Below are 17,520 nucleotides of genomic sequence, written 5' to 3'. Positions count from 1 at the left end.
GGCATTGGGTGACAGACAGGAACTTGTCAAAGACAGAAAAAGACATACCTACCTTCTGAAAATTGTGCGTGCTCACCACGTTACGATAACTTACCTTTATACCTGTTCTGTGTGGAGAGTCTCTTCCTGACCATTTTCTACCCAGAAAGGGACGTATATGCGACAAGAAATAAACTTGTGAGGATAAAGAAGCATTATGCCACCATTTAGAGAAAAAAGCCTTCCTAGTGAGTGCTATACTGACAAATTGGAGGAAAAAGAAAGAGCATATAGTATAATTCCTCAGGTTCTCTGGCTGGCTGGGTTTATAACTACCTGTTTCAGAGTGAAACAGTATTTCCACATCATAAATATGGCAACATGACTTTCAATAATACCAAAAGACTTGGTAAGAGCAGTCTTATACCAAAACTTTCTCCAGACATCGTATCCTTCACATGACAGATACAGAGACATATGCTTATGTAATTAGATGAATGCGTATTACATAATTTTCTCTCTATATTGCCAACTTCTCCACTTGTTTCTCCTCAGTGTACCTTAAGAGAATGAAAGAGCATATGGGACCAAAACTACTGAGAAAAAACGGGAAAAAGAACAACAACAGACAGCTGCACACAGATAAAAAGCTGAGAAATAAAGAATCAAAAAAACCACATAGATCTGGGGGGCATAGCATTGTAATTGGTGTCTGCTCCCATGTGGTCACACCATAATGTGACTTTACTATTTTCTCAGATAACATCATGCATCATTTTTCTAAAACCAAGAGGTCAAATGAGTCTGGATTATAAAACAAAGGCTGCATTTAGAAAGTCAGAAGGTTAGCAGGACCCACAGAGTCAGGGATTTTCAACAAATCTCTTTGCCACGGTTATTCAGAAATTTCAAGTGTGTGCTCATCTTTACTATGGTCACATCAAGAAAATAACATGAGAAAGAAGTGGAGACACAGGTTATAGATGCCCACAGCATTGAGGTGTCTCCACCATCAGTGCTAGAAGCACCTTCATGAAGTCAGAACTAAACCCACGAGCCAGAAGCATCACTAGTGGACACAATTAACAATCACAAGACTCTCTTCCAATAAAAACCAAATACATAATATATACATATAAAATATACTCACAAAATAGAAAATACATACATACATATATATACACACACACACACATATATATACACACATACATACAGAATAGCTATGTGTATATAAACCAGATACCAATAAATTTAGTCAGAGAGAATTTCTACCCTATATCTGAAAGATACCCAAGAACGCTTTAAGCTTTGCTAATTGTAAAAAATAAACTCTTGAATGTCTTTGTCATTTGTAAGGCCTAAGAAATTCAGAGAACTCAAACTTTTTGAGAAAACAGCTATACCCTTTAAATAGCCTCAAAATTCTAGGCAATGCAAAAGGGGAGAGTCTCAAAATTATTAACCAATTTGGAGTTAAATTCAATAAGATAAGGTGATTTAATTCATGAAGAACTGAAGCCCTTACAACAAAAATATTGCCTGAAATGGTTTGCTGCTGTGGTTATTGTTTCTCAGTCGCTATTCTAATCTAAAGAAAAAACACAGGGAGTGAGCAAGTGGGAGAATATTTAGTGTTGTTAAGCAAGACACATCTCTTCACTCTTCTCATAAGAGCACTAGTCATTTATTTCCCAAGTTTCTGGAGGAGAGAATTACTTATGAATCTTTCAGAAGAGCCATCCTTTTACATATTGTCCTTTAAGATTCTCCAAATCTCCAAACATCTTCACAAAGTTCCAGTATGAAAGGTTGTTGTACTTACGATCATTGCACTGGTTTCCAGAATAAGAGGTCATAGAACAATCACAGGTGAAGCCCTCCCATTGTTGCATGCAGACCCCCTGGTTGGCACATGAATCTTCCTGGCAGGTGGTACTGGGTCCTAGTAATGCACAAGAAGAGGGGAAAAAAAGAAAAAGGAGAGAGAGAAGAAATGTTAAAAATTAGATTCAAGGAAATCACCTGAATTTACCATTCTCATGCCCCCAAACATTTGAAGACACACCACCAAAATTGTCAACTCAATCTCATGCAACAAGAACTCAGTATATACAAAAGATGACGGAAATACACACTTAGCCACAAACTATCAACAGTTATACACAGAAGGGAGAGGGCTGAACACACTGTTCTCCTTCGGGTTGACTTTGCAAAATAGCTTCATCTCTACCTTTCAACTAGAAAGATATCTCATTTGGATTATAGCTTTTTTTAATGTAGAATGCTAACTCAGAAAAAAAAAATCATTCCCATGATTCTTATAAATTAAGGCACAGTGTTTTTTTAATCCTGAAACCAACAGTCCCTATATCTACTTCGTGACATAAAAAAAGATGTTTAATGATATTGATAATGATGAAGAGAAGGAAGAGAAGGAGAAGAAGGAGGATTTAGCAGCCAACATGTATTGATGTTTTTTAGGGGGCGAGTACTGGGTACTAAACAATGTATTTACATTATCTTGCTGAGCTCTCCAGGTACTCTAAGAGGTAAGTAATTATGATTACCTCCACTTTACAGATTTTAAGAAACTGAGCTCGGGAAGACACAGTAATTTACTCAAGGTCACACATTTGGTAATTGAAGGATGCTGATGTCCAACTTAGGTAAAGTAACTCTAAAACGCATGCTGTGGACTATACCAGTGGTTCTCAATGTGTAGTTCTCAGACGACCACAACCTGGGAATGTGTCAGGAATGCAAACGCTTGGAGCTCACCCCAGACCCATTGAATTAGAAACTTTTGCAGGGAGGCACACATCTGTTTTTACAAGCTTCCAGGACATTCAAATGCAGTCTGAAGTTTGAAAGCCGTTGCACTACAGCACACTGCTGCTCTAGGTATTCTAAAAATGAATTCTTTTTTTTTTTTTTTTTTTTTTTTGAGACAGTCTCGCTCTGTTGCTAGACTGGAGTGCAGTGGCACGATCTTGGCTCACTGCAATCTCCACCTCCCAGCTTCAAGCAATTCTCCTGCCTCAGCCTCCCGAGTAGTTGGGATTACAGGCACACGCCACTACACTCAGCTAATTTTTTTGTATTTTTAGTAGAGACAGGGTTTCACCATGTTGGCCAAGATCGTCTCGATCTCCTGACCTCGTGATCTGCCCACCTCAGCCTCCCAAAGTGCTGGGATTACAGGTGTGAACCACTGCACCAAGCTAAAAATGGATTCTCTTAAATGGAGTGTGCATGCGCTGGAGCATGCAAAAGAGAATCATTTGTGCTATAGAAAGAAAATATTAGAAATTGTGTTTCTTTTAATTAATTCTAAATTATTTCTATTTCTGTGTGTCTTTCATATGTTAATATATAAGAATAATAGTACATGTATATAACTTACAAGTAAATTTACCTATTTTGAAGGCATTCTCCAAATCTTTTACTGACATGTGGGGGCATTAAAATTTTTTTGATGATCTCTCTCTTACAGATTGCCATTAAACTCTTTCGGTCCGCCTGGCACTTCTCTTCAACCATTCTCTCTCTTTTACTGACATTTTCTGCCTTAACTTTGGGATTAAAGATAAATCTATACATTTAGGATTATCTGAGCTCACAGGAAATATCTTAATATTCAGTATAACTCCATGAATTTCCCAGAGAATCTCAGCAAACGAGATGAGCCCTTTGACTCACCAAATGTATTAGTCAGGAACTAATGCATAAAAGCACTTGACAGGGTAAAACATATTACCATTGCAATAACAGCATATTTCACAGTTTCTAACGTAAGCCTCACAAAAGCAAGAATACTGAAATGAAAGAACACAGGGTCCTAAAGACGCATGTTCAAAAGAGATGCACGACTACAAAGGGTTCGTCTTCTGGGTGGCAAGGCATTTTGTATTTATTCATGAAGGGTGGAAGCAGGACAGGCCATCACTCATAAGACAATGCTATGAGGATATGACATAAGAAAGTTCAAAACAATTACTAACACTGGGGTTACAGTACTGCTGCTGGCTTTCTGCAGCTCCTATTGGCCATGTGGTTCCCCCATGTAGAGATGAAAGGAGGTATGTGGTCATGTTCTCAGTGGGTCTTAAACTCAAGCATTGTGTTATACAAGTTTCATTAACAATGGTAAATCAGGACAGCTTCTTTCAAAGGATAAAAGCTTCTGAGAAGTCCACAGGGGCTCCCTGGCCAAACAGCTCTCACCATACAATTGGCTAGTAATTCAATTGTACTCAATAATCAGAAACACATGGAAGGTTTATGGAAAGTTTTACTGTAAAAGGCAGTAAAACAGCAAAAACTCTGGGAAAACACAATAATTCTTTGAATGTTGATTGAATCTAAAGACGAAGCCTTTTCCATATCTTTCGCCTTCCCTCTAACTGCCAAATTTTAACCATTTTTCTAAGGACCAGCCTGAATGCCTTCTTCAAATGAAACATTAGTCAATAACTTCAAACAATAATTCTCCCGCTTTGTTGTGGCCATAGCAATTATTATCTGCGTCATTAATTTTTGCATATAATATTCAGTTTAGCACTTTATTACGCATTGCACTGTCTTCTCCTCATATAATCCTCTAATTGCTTTATGTTTTTACTATTTTATCATCAAAAGTTTGAAAGCTGCTTGCTATTAGAAATCAGGTAATATTCTCTGGTTAGGTCCTTGTGGCACTAAGTCTATTGTGAAGATGCAGAAAGTGTTCCAGTAAATGTTAGGGTGATCTGAATTGTAACCACCCTTGATTTGCTATATCATGCTTCCAAAACCTGAGTGTAGGAGCATGTCTGCACTCTGCAAAGTATGCAATCTTTTCCATTTGTCAGAAGTTCATCAGGGACCAAATACAGGGCGGGGATTATAGGTTATTTATCAATTCCACTGAATTTGCTTCACTTGCATTAAGGGGCAAAGGCCATGTAGAATCAGATAGTACCGGAAGACTGACTACATTGTAAGCATCCAAGAACAACAGTATTGTCACTAAGGACTTAATAGAACTTTCAACTTCTCAACAATCTGGAACTAACCTTGAACCTCCTTTCAAGATTGAGCTCCTAGGAGCCCCTGCCTCCTTCTCCAGTCTCATTTCTTACCATATGTCCCTAGCTCACAGTGCTACAGCCCTCTCCTGTTTTTAGTTCCTAACACAATGATTCCCAGAGTGTTGCTCCTAAACCAGCAGCATCTGCATCTCCTGGAAGCTTATGAGAAAAACACTTTAAGGCTGTACCCAGACCTACTGACTGGGGGCAGAATTGAGGAATCTGAGTTGTAACAAGCCCTCCAGGTGGTTCAGATGCCTGCTCATATTCCTGGACCACTGCCTTAATACTTCATGCCCACCCCTATCTTCGAGTTCCTTTGCGCTTCCTGCTGGACCCTTGGCCTTAACTGTGCTTTCTCCAGATTCAAATGACTGTTTCATTTTTATTCTTTGAGTTTCAGCTCAAAATGAGCTTTCTCCAAACTATCCTACTTAAGGAAGCCCCCATTAGCAGAACTTTTACTCTTCATCATGTCTTCCTATTTACTTAACTAATAACAATTACGTGGACTGTAATTAAATTAATTTCTTTTAAATTGAAAGATAATAGTTGTTTATATTTATGGGATACAATGTTATGTTTTAATATATGCTTACAACACGGAATGGTAAATCAGGCTAATTAACAAATCAATCACCTCACATACTTAGCACTTTTTTGTGGTAAAAACATTTAACATCTATTCTTCTAATGATTTGAAATTTAAAATACGCTATTATTTGCTGTAGTCACCATTCTATGCAATAGATTACCAAAGCCTATTCCTCTTGTCTAATTGAAACTTTGTACCCATTGATCAACATCTCTTATTTTTCCATCCATCCCCTCCCCCCGCCTCCTATAGCCACTATTCTATTCTCTATTTCTATGAGTTCAAATTTCTTAGATTCCACATATAAGTGAGATCATGTGGTATCTGTCTTTCTGTGCCTGGCTTATTTCACTTGGCATAATATCCTCCGGGTTCATCCATGTTGTTGCAAATAAGAGAATTTCCAGCCTTTTTTTCTTTTTTTTTCTTTTTTTTTTTTTTTTTTAAATGGAATCTTGCTCTGTCACCAGGCTGGAGTGCAGTGGCATGATCTCGGCTCACTGCAACCTCTGCATCCTGGGTTCAAGCAATTCTCCTGCCTCAGCCTCCCAAGTAGCTGGTACTACAGGCACACACCACCATGCCTGGCTAATTTTTGTATTTTTAGTAGAGATAGGGTTTCACCATGTTGGCCAGGATGGTCTCAGTCTCTTGACCTCGTGATCTACCTGCCTCGGCCTCCCAAAGTGCTGGGATTACAGGCATGAGCCACCACACCCAGCCTTCCCACTTTTTTTTAAGGCTGAATAAAACAATCTGTTAAGGGACTATTATCTAAAATATGTAAGAAACTCAAACAACTCAATAGTAAGAAAACAAATACCCCAATCAAAAAATGAGCAAATGTATTGCATCGTGTACATATACCACATTTTCTTTATCCATTCATCTGAGGATGAACACCCAGGTTTCTTCTAATTTTTAGCTATTGTGATTAATGCTGCAATGAACATGGGAATGCAGATATCTCTTTGGCGTACTGCCTTCAATTATTTTGGACTGAAACCCAGAAGCAGGATTGCTGAATCATATGGTAATTCTATTTTTAGTTTTCTGAGGAACCTCCATTCTGTTTTCCATAATGGTTATATTAATTTACATTCCCACCAAAAATGCACAAGTGTTCCCTTTTCTCCAAGCCTTTGCCAATACTTGTTGTTGTTGTTGTTTTTGTCTTTTTGATAGTAGCTATTTTAATAGGTGCAAGGTGATATCTCATCATGGTTTCAGTTTGCATTTTCCCAAAGATGAGTGATGTTGAGCATTTTTTTCATATATATGTTGGCCATCTGCATATCTTCTTTTAAGAAGTGTCTAGTTAGATTCTTTGCTCATTTTTTGATTGGGGTATTTGTTTTCTTATTTTGAGTTGTTTGTGTTTCTTATATATTTTGGATAATAGTGCCTTATCAGATATACACTTCACAAATATTTTCTCCCAATCTATGGGTTACTTCTTCACTCTATTAATTGTTTTCTTGATGTGCAGAACCTTTTTGGCTTCATGCAATCTCATTTGTTTATGTTGCCTGTGGTTTTGAAGTCACATCCAAGAAATCCTTGCCCAGAAACAATGCAATGGAGCACTTCCTGTACGTTTTCTTCTAGTAGTTTTATAGTTTCAGGTCTAACATTTGAATCTTTAATATGTTTTGAGATGATGTTTGTATATGGTATAAAAAGGGTACAATTTTATTTTTCTGCGTGTAAATATCCATTTTGTCCAATATCATTTATTGAAGAGACCATCCTTTCTCCATTGCATACTTGTGGCACCTTTGTTAAAAAAAAAATCAGTTAACCATAATGCATAAGTTTATTTTGGGGGTCTCTATCCTGTTCCACTGGTCAGTGCATCCGTTTTTTGTCAGAACTATTAAGTTCCTCACTGTCTTTCAAATCCTACTGGACCGTAAGCCTCTCAAGGGCAGAAGCCTTGTCTGTCTTGGTCACCTTTACATCTCTAATTTCTGATATTGTATTTGGTATAGCGTGAGGGTTCTATTCAAAATATTCAAAATATTATTGAATAAAAGAAAGAACTAAATAACAAAGAAAAAATAAAGAAATAAAGCCATTCATTTAGAATTTAAAGCAAAATGGTTCTTGTAAAAATTTATCCCTAGAATTTACCAATAAGAGCTCACATAAGTAATCTCTTACTTGAAACTGTTTTTATTTACATTTTTTTCTTAGGGTGGGTGGGGTGGTGGTATTTAATTGGCCGTGTGTCCTTTGATTTCAGACTCACCAGATGCTGACAAGAACTCTTTGGTATTCCCAAGCCCAAGTACAGTATGTAATAACTATTGAATGAATGAGAGTCTGGGCTAGACTCTAGAACAATTTCTAGATGATCATTTTGTGAGCTCCTATTCTTACTTCAACCTGTTTAAGTACATCCTTTCCTAAACAGAGCCTATTTTATGTCAATGTATTTAATGTATGCATTTCACATAGCAGTGTGTCAAAGAAATTAGAAAAACATGTCTTGGGGGAGAAAAACCAAAAGCTTCAACAGTGCTTCCCACTAAACATCTATTGATATAAAATAATCTTGTACAAATCAGAAAGAGGATATAACAATAGACACAGCTTACCTAGTGCTTATTATGAGCCAGACACTATACTAAATGCTTTTAAGATATTAATTCAATTAATCTTCATAAGCACATGATGAAGCAAATATAATTAAAAGTAGTAAAGAATCAGAGAAACAAATTATTTTCTCATAGGAGATCTCCATAATTTCAAATTTAAGTAATTTTTAAAATGTTGATTGAATCAAAAGGCAAAGACTTCAGAAAAGTAAACTGAGACACAGAAAAGTTGCATAATTTTCCCCAAAATCCATAGGTGGCAAGTGAGAGGGTGAGGTCTCAAACCCAAGCTTGCTAATTGTGCAGCCCACTCACCTAACCTCTCACGGATGTGTGTAAGCCAGAGTGGGGAATGTGCATGTGTGGTGTCATTGGATTAATAAGAGTAACTTAAGGTATTTCTGACCTACAACTGGGAAAAGATGACGTCTTGATGTAAGGATTTGTTTTTGTTTTTTACAAGGAAAACTTTCAAATACCATTTCAATTCAGTTAAACAGGAAGATCTCATTTTGTCCAATTTTATGAACAGAAATCTGTATCAAATGTTACGTTTATAAGCATGACAGACAATTCTGGGGACTTAATAATCATAATTTTTCATAAAACACTCTTCCAAACCAACATAAAATTCCAGACATTCTAAGACAGCACAAATTTGTTTAATTACATATTTATGAAGTCTTTTTTTATCATTGTCATTATTAATTATTAATATCTTAAAACATCCAAAGGCCTTAGGAAGTTCCTGTATAGGAATGGTATAAGTTATTTTTGCTCTTGATATGTGAATAACTCTCACGAAAATAGTCACATATCCCTTTGAGAAAAGATGGTGACTTTCTTTGTATACTACAGAAAGTGACAAGACAACAGAAATGTGTCTGGAAAGACTGAATAAGATGTCAATGGTGTTAGTACTTTGGTTTCTAATTTCCAGCCCTGCTTTTGGTTTGCTGGAAAACATGAAATTGCATCTCATTCCCTTATCATTTTATTTATCAGATAATTCTGATGGCTGCCAAAATTTCCTATCATTTTTCTTGATGGTGGGATTGTTCTTCTCATTAAGAATTGTCTGATACAACCATTTTATGCCTGTTACTGCTCTAATCCACCCTTACAGCACGTGTACACTGATTTAGTCAATTCCTCTTCATGGCCTAGAAAACCAAAGTTGATAGAGTATTTTTTATTGTTTGTAGGTCCTTGAAATAGACTTTCTTCCTAAAGCTCACAACACTAGTATCAGAATGCACTTTCCCTCTGTTATTGCCCAAATAAGACTTAACCAAACCTATGTCTCAAACACCCCAATTTGAAATTCATAAATAGTGCTAAAGCAGCACCACCTGGTTCTAGCCAGACAAGAAGTGGGTGGAGAAATGTAGGGTGCAGCAGGCAGAGGGTAAGGGAGAAAAGGAGAAGTGACAGGCCTGGAGGCCATATCAAGTTTGTCTTCTCAATGTCCATTCCTTTAGAGGGCCAAGGCTGGTGACCCAGGAGTGGGGACCAGGTGAGGCTGATCTATCAACATTCACTAACTTTAATCACAAGGAGTGAAGGGCTTAAGTCAAAGGGCTTAGACTCTATCGGTGTAACCTAAATGTGAAGTTATCATAGTAGAATTCCGTGTTAACCAAAGGGTTTGCCTGTCCCAACAAACCACAGCTTCCATGGGAAGGAGCATTATAAGAGTTGCTGATATTGTTGGCTGTGTCCCCACCCAAATCTCATCTTGAATTGTAGCTCCCTTAATTCCCACATGTTGTGGGAGGGGCCCGGTGGGAGGTAATTGAATCATGGGGGTAGGTCTTTCCCATGCTGTTCTCACGATAGTGAATAAGTCTCATGAGATCTGATGGGTTTATAAAGGGGAGTTCCCCTACACAAGTTCTCTCTTGCCTGCCTCCATGTAAGACGTGACTTTGCTCCTCGTTTGCCTTCTGCCATGATTGTGAGGCCTGCCCAGCCACATGGAACTATGAGTACATTAAGTCTCTTTTTCTTTATAAATTACTCAGTCTTGGGTATATTTTTATTAGCAGCATGAGAACAGAATAATACATGCCATGAACTGTCTAAAGAGATCTTCCAACTTTAGTTTAATTTTCTACCCCTGGTAAGTGCCTAATCTTTCTACTTTCACATTTTAAAATTTACATTGTTTTATAGGAAAAAAATGAGTGAACAGTAGTTGGGTGGAAGGAAAAAAGTACAGAAAAAAGATGAATATACATAGATTTATGTATATGTGTGTGTATTTATATAAGTCTCATATAAATAAGTCTATAGAAACCCTACAGGGAAATTTTTGAAAATGCAAATGGATTATGAAAGACTCTTACTGCCTACCTGAGCAATCTATAGTCTCGACTGCTAAAATATAAAAATTAAAGAGTTGAGAGTCTTCAGGAGAATGTGATGGTTAATTTTATGTGTCAAAATGACTGAGGTAAGGGATGCCCAGATACCTGGTCATTATATATAATAATAATGAAATATTATTTCCAGGTATGTCTTTGAGGGTATTTACAAATGAGATTAGCATTTTAACTGGTGAAGAGAATAAAGCAGATGGTCCCCAGTGTGAGTAGGCATCATCCAATCTGTTGTGGTCCTATTCTGAATAGAAGAAAAAGGCAGAGGAAGGAGGAATTCGCTTTCTTTGCTTGAGGTGAGATAGCCATATTCTCTAGCCCTCAGACATTGGACACTTGTGCTCCTGGTTCTTGGGCTTTTCGAATCAGAGCAGAACTTACACTATCATGCCACTTCTGCCCCTGCCACCCCCATTCCCAGGGCTTTAGAATCCAACTGTTTTATTCTCCAGCATACAGACAGCGGACTGTGGAGTTTCTTGGCCTCCATAATCATGTGAGCCAATTCCTATTTTTATACATATGTATATAAATAATATATATTTTATATAATATATTATATATAAGATGTATATATCTAAATAATATATATTTTATATATTATATATAAGATGCATATATCCTATATATGATATATATGATACCTCTCTGGAGAACCCTAACTAATACAGAGGGTATTCCTGATAATAAGGATAGCCTATTTACTTAGCTGAATATATGTCTTGGACCCTTCAGCAAAGCTACTTCCATAGCTTTCAGAGTATTTCTAAATTTACAGTGTTGAGTCCCCTTGGCTTTTCTGAAGAGAGTCATTTACAGACAACATAAGATCTATTCATTTTAACTGGAGGAAGCCAAATTCACTTATATTTAGCTTTAAAATAAGAAAGCAATGATCACTTAAAAATGTCAAGTGAATCCACTGAGACGCGAATACTCTAGGTCACATTTTATAGAACATAAGGCAATGCCAGAGAATAGGGTCCTAAATCTTATTATAAAATCTCATTGTCAGAGAGACCTAAGGGTGGCTGTATTCCCAAGATCATGCTTTTTGTCTTGAAGTCAGGACCTATGCCTTACCAAAGCTAAGCAAGGCATCAAAACCACTCTTCTCAAGCATGTTCAGATGCTTATGGCTTCCTCTTCTCAAACAGAGGTTTTAAAAAGGTCACATGATTAGAGTGATCAGTGAAAAAGACAAAGAATAAAATCTAACATTTGGAGCAGTTTCACTAACACCCTTTTCTCTTCAACCACTTCAACCCTCTCATAATACGTTGGGTATAAAATTGGTTATGGCCATGGATGGGAATTGGTTGACTGAGATGGCTTCATGGTATCTTTATCCCCAGTGGCCTTTTATTGGTGATATATCACTAGTAAATGTTTAACAACCAGCACCCCAGGAAAAGGAAAATAAAACTGATTTGTAACATGTGTTGGTTTTATTAGTACTCCCCTCATAGCCAATTTCAAGCCATAACATGTTGCCTCATGTAAACTGGCTTACAAAATTCCTAGAAATTCCTGTGCCAGTGCCAGCTCTAGCACAGCACTGCTCTTGATGGTCAATGATCTAAAAAGAATAATTACAGCTTAAGAGTAAAGTGATTTACCCACAGCACCTTCCATGACAGTAGAGAGGTGGGAGTTGATACTTGCTGCAGGTAGGGTATTTGTAAGAGTGAGAGGATGGCTGGTAGCATGAAGCCTTCTTCCTCAACCCACCCTATTTTCATGGGATGCCTGGGTCACAAAGGTCAAATAACTCTTTTCAAAGTGATACACAATCCCTCATAAGTCAATGATTCTTTAGAAAATGTAAACTGAGGAGTCTGTCTGCTTTTCCTTGTTTTCTAGGCACTGATGTAGGGGTCTGCTGGGGCAGTGGAATATACTTTAAAAGAGAGAGAGAAGGAGTTTCAAAGCCCAGTCTCAACAACAACAAAAAAAGAGGTAATTTAAAATACTTTGCTCTAACATTGTGCAAATATTATCTAGAACTTTTCGAAATGGTGTTGATATGAAAACCATCTACCATAAAGTCAGCATGGAGGACACTCTCAGATACTCTCTGGTCATCTATGTACTCTTTCTGCTTTGGAAATAAGCAAACCCAGACTCACACCATACGGCATAATAGGCGAAAGGTCATGGGCTTTAAAATCCAGTTTAATCACTTACTAGTAATGTGACCTTGGGCTGGTGATATTAAACTCTAAACCTCAGTGTCCCCATCTGTATAAGGGAGATATGTATTTCTACTGCATCATATGGTGTGAAGATTAAATGAAAGAACATATGCAAGACCTATAAAGTCACCTATGAAACAGACAACAGTATCTATCAGCTAAGGTTGTAGTCACAATGGAGATACAACCTGCCAAGTCCTTAGTGTATGCCTTCATCAAGGAGACTCTCAATAAAGATCATCAGCAATTCTGCTAGAAAGGACAATAATCAGGTTTCCTCCTCCCACTTAAGTTGGGTGTACAGTTGATGAGGAGTCCAGAAACAAGATGCATTTTGGTAGTGTGCCACACTGACACAGTTGTGTTGTACGCCTCTCTCGTATAATGTGGAGGAAAAGGACACAAGAACAATAATGGGAAGTTCACTGCAATTTATGTCTCTCTTATTATTTTCCACAATAGAAAGCATTTTGAGGAACTTATAGTAGGTCAAGTACTATATTTTATAACAAAAAATACAATGGAGAATGTGATACAATCTTCAGTTTCGGAGAAAATGAGGTGGAGGACAATATTCATCATAGTAAAGACAGTTGGGGAATTAAAATTTCCTTTACCTAACTAAAGGTGTTTGACTAATTCTAACTCTGTTCTAAAATGCCTTTAAAGAATCTTGAGATTTCCAAGGCATCTGAACCCAATACATTGATTGACTTTCTCAAAATAGCCAGCACTTAGCACCCAGATCCAATGGATCCTGGATCCCCTGACCACGTGTTCACCATCTGGGCAGAGGGACACCTTACATTTCTAGAAAAAAAGTCATTAAACATCAGAAATAAAACCTGCTAAGAGAAGTTATAATTAAAGATGGAATAGGAAGATTCTAATTAATCACCTAATACAAAAAAGAGTTATTCTTTTATTTCTCATAATTTATGTCATCTGCCTCACACCAAACAGGTCAATCTTAATATTTCTTTTATAGTTCTGCAGCTCCTTTCTTCCATGAATAGGCTTTTAGGAAATCTCTTCCTTTCCACTAATACCCTTCTTAAAAACAAAAAGGAATTAGAAAGTTACTTCTGAATGTTCTGTAGAAGCTGTCATTCTGTCCAAGGTACACTGATACAAAGACTGCACTGCTCAGCAAGGCAACCTCCCTCCCGTGGATCACAGGAGTACCGTGGAGAGCTCCTGTCTCCTGTGTTGACCTAGAGAGATGTAGATTCTGGCCTGAAACCAGGAAAGTCGGTAAACTTCTTTCTTGATATCTTTTGTCATAATGTGAAAATACATGTGCTACTAACCAGAATAACAGTGTAGCAGTGGAGAGGGTGTGTGCAGCAAACAGGAGAAAGAGTTCACTTTCTTTCTTGCTCTTTGAGGTTTCATGTGAAAGGGAAACTTGTTTACCTCCTTGACCAAGTCAAGTAACAGGCACTGGGGGCATGTCTCTTCCCTCTGTCTTGGAATATGCTGCTTCACTCCTGAATCTGCTCTCTGTTTCTAGTTTCTGTCTGCATCATCCTTTCTCCATTCTAGTGTCAGAGTGATCCTGATAAAATGAAAATCCAACCCAAATCTCTGTCCTCCTCACAGCATCCTTGGGATAAAGTCCAACTCCTTACAGGAAAAGTCTGTCATTACCTGTCTCTATCCTACCACTCCCATTTCATGTGCTATCATATCCCCCCACACACATTATTTCAGCCACATTGAGCTTCTTGTAGATTCCCAATTAAGCCAAGCTCTCGAATGTGCTTCCATCGTTCATCCATCTAAAACATACTTGTCCTTCAGACTCAGCTCAAACTCTGTCTGAGAAGATATCCCCTGAGCACTCCCCATGACCACCATGACCCTACACGATCCAGTGTGTTCCTTCATGCTCACATGGCAGGACGCATGTCTCTAGGATAGGAGTTTTCACTTTGCATTGTAATTATTGGCTGATCATCTGTGGAATTCTTTGAAGTTAGAGACTGCATCTCATCTGCAGTATCCTAGCATCCCCAGTACCTAGTCCCTGATACACAGGCATAGCTGACACTAACTTCCTGTTAAATTCAACAACACATTCACTGGAGAAGTTAAAAATTTTTAAATAAAAAATAAAACACTACCCCAACCACACAATAACAAGAGGACTTAAGCTGTTGACTCATCTAGACTCATTACGTCACTTCTTACACCTCATTGTTATATTTCCTTCTGAATACATTTTTGTCTAGGCTTCCAACTGCCTCATTTCCTTGTCATATATCTTCACTACCCTTCATACTTCATGGTAATTAGTACTATCTATACTCACAGGTTGTAGCTGAAAAAGCCAGCTTGTGAGTAATAGTCCACACCCCAATGTTAGGAAACAAAAAACTAAAAGCTTTTCCTATAAAACAGGGAAAGAGTAAGACGGCCCCAAATAATCGAAAAAAAAAGCAGCTCCTGCCACAAACAAAGAGACTGTCAAGTCATTACAAGAATGGAGGAAAGTTCGTGCCAATAAAGTAATAATGTTAAAACCATATTGATGCCTAGACAGCTTCCATAAAAGGAAACATCAATATATTCCAAACCACTATGTCCCTAAATCTGTATCTACGCTTTGGTAAACAATTTACTTTAGGCATAGAAATCAATGACTCACTTCTCCCTACAAACCATTATTCCTTTGGATGAGAACTTTCAGATTATTTTGCCATGTCCAGATTTTCTAGGTGAGAGAATATGCTAAGCTCTGGGAATTCAAAATCCATATAGTTCTTACCCTGCGTGATAGTAAAGTCAGGGAAGAGATGTAGTTGTCTAGTTTAATCCGCTAAATCCAGTCCTAAGGAGCTTCAATCTCCTTGGATTGTCTTGCATTCAGATTGAGTCCTGCCCCCTTCTCTCTCTCTTCCATTTACAGAGAAATACATAGTGGATCTTTCTTGACAATTAAACATAATGTCTAAAACAACAGTATTGCCACAAGGGCCCTCTATACTTTGAAACTGAAAGCTATTGTAAAGCTTCCTCTGACTTTAAGTCCTAACTAGTGTATATTCTTTTATTTAATTTAAATATATATTAAAATATATGTGAATCTGCTAAGAGGCGATAAAGAAAAACAAAGTTATGGTAAAATAGTGACAGAGTCTTCATTGGTGGATGTATTCTGGATAGATAGGCGCTTGTACTGGTTAGCTACATGGCATATAACAAGAAAGTCACAGCAAAGTCAATGATCTTTTTAGATGAAAAGTAATTTTTTGAACGTTACCTTTGCCTTAACTACTTCTAACAATTTGGACTGACTGCAAACTCAGCAGAGGTCATGAGGCTCAGTCTCCTGCTTGACAATCAGCCAAAAGACACCTAAAATGCTTGTTCCTCCCTTGTTATTCTGAGACATAGCAGCATGGCACCATAGGATCAGTGGGCCATTACTGACTTTGTAAGATGCCTCTTTGAATAGTGGATGAAGTAGTTTCTGCAATAGATATTCACTAACATCTCACATGTGGTATTTTATAGGGTATTCAGGATTAAAATGACAGATCATCTTCTTCCTCAAGAGTACTTTTTTCCTGCGATCACAAAACAGGAAATTAAAGTGCTCAACCAAAATCCCCAATAGAAAATATAAATCTCTGAAACATTTTAATGACATTAGTGTCTCCCAAATGCCCAGAAATATTTAAAACTTTAAAACTAGTTAAGAGAAAATGACATTCTCTTTCATAAAGCCCAAGTACTTAAATGTCCTGCTCCAGGAAATGACCTCCCTGATCCAGAAAATAATAACTTAAGGCATAAGGGCTGGCCTTGGCCTTTTTTTTCCTTCCAAGTTCTTTTTTCTATGTATGGTGAATAAATTAAGAGGAGCCAACCCCTCCATGGCAACTACTTGGAGAGGTATTTATCATTTCCAGAGTAAATTAATATGTTTATGTATAGTCACGGTATGGGATGCTGTCAAACCTCTTTGGTACCCCCCAAAATGGAATCATGTTTCTTCCCCCATGAGGTCTCCTCTTGATAGCTATTTTTCATGCATTGATCTGGGTTATCTGTCACCCTTTCAGAAGAACACAGGGTTCAGCCACCTCCCCACAATTGCTGCTGTCCAAGAGGTGTGACAGCTTGAAGATCTCTAAAGAAAAGATACCAAGGGTTACACAGGGCATCTTTCAGTCCAAAGTGGTAATGGGAACAAGAACCTTCTCTACCTTGCAGGTCAGCTTTGGTCAACGCAACTTTGTTAGCAAAAGAACAGAAAAAGCGAAAACAATAACCAGAGGTTAGTAAGAGGTAGAATAAACCAGGATAACATTACAGAAATGAAAACGCAATCTGCATAACCATCACTCAGACAGACAATTGAAATGCTCTACAGGTTCACCAGAGACAGCAAAGATGGGGTTGGGGAGTAGGGCAGAGGGGGACGCGCAGACCAGGGACAGAGCCGGCCTCCTCAGAGCCAAGTCAGCAGAGCAGGGCAGGGGCGCATCAGACTTGACAAAGCACAGGCAACGGGCAACAAGGGCAACAAGAGCTTTCTCACATCCACACAGCCAACCTCAGGGAGTGCACGGTCAGACTGAAAGACACGTGTGTGCAATCAGATGGAGCCCATAGAAATACTTCTAAACATTAGGAGTTCAGCATGAAAGAGTCACTCGAGTGCACCCCTTGTGCCCTCTTGCAAATGCC

At 38.0% G+C, this 17,520-nt stretch overlaps 1 protein-coding gene across 52 annotated transcripts in view, besides 1 other annotated feature; it reads right to left on the bottom strand.

The window, feature by feature from the left end:
* NRXN3 (neurexin 3) overlaps positions 1 to 17,520 on the bottom strand; it is a 1,697,919-nt gene that overhangs the window by 878,346 nt on the left and 802,053 nt on the right. For all 52 annotated transcript variants that reach the window (NR_158973.1, NR_158975.1, NR_158974.1 and 49 more), the window contains one exon: positions 1,805 to 1,924. Coding sequence is in view for 46 of the 52 variants with exons in the window: in XM_011537363.2 (XP_011535665.1) it covers positions 1,805 to 1,924 (120 nt within the window). In the remaining 6 variants the exon portion in view is untranslated. The remainder of the gene's footprint in view (positions 1 to 1,804; positions 1,925 to 17,520) is intronic.
* Positions 3,967 to 4,487: an enhancer, noted in NCBI's record as "OCT4-NANOG hESC enhancer chr14:79451802-79452322 (GRCh37/hg19 assembly coordinates)". NCBI's record gives its function as "activates a minimal SCP1, AML or CMV promoter by ChIP-STARR-seq in naive H9 embryonic stem cells {active_cell/tissue: H9 hESC(naive)}" and the evidence as "EXISTENCE:reporter gene assay evidence [ECO:0000049][PMID:30033119]".

Source organism: Homo sapiens, chromosome 14 (genome assembly GCF_000001405.40).
Source record: "Homo sapiens chromosome 14, GRCh38.p14 Primary Assembly".
NCBI lineage: Eukaryota > Metazoa > Chordata > Mammalia > Primates > Hominidae > Homo > Homo sapiens.
This window is presented reverse-complemented; position numbering and strand designations above follow the sequence as displayed.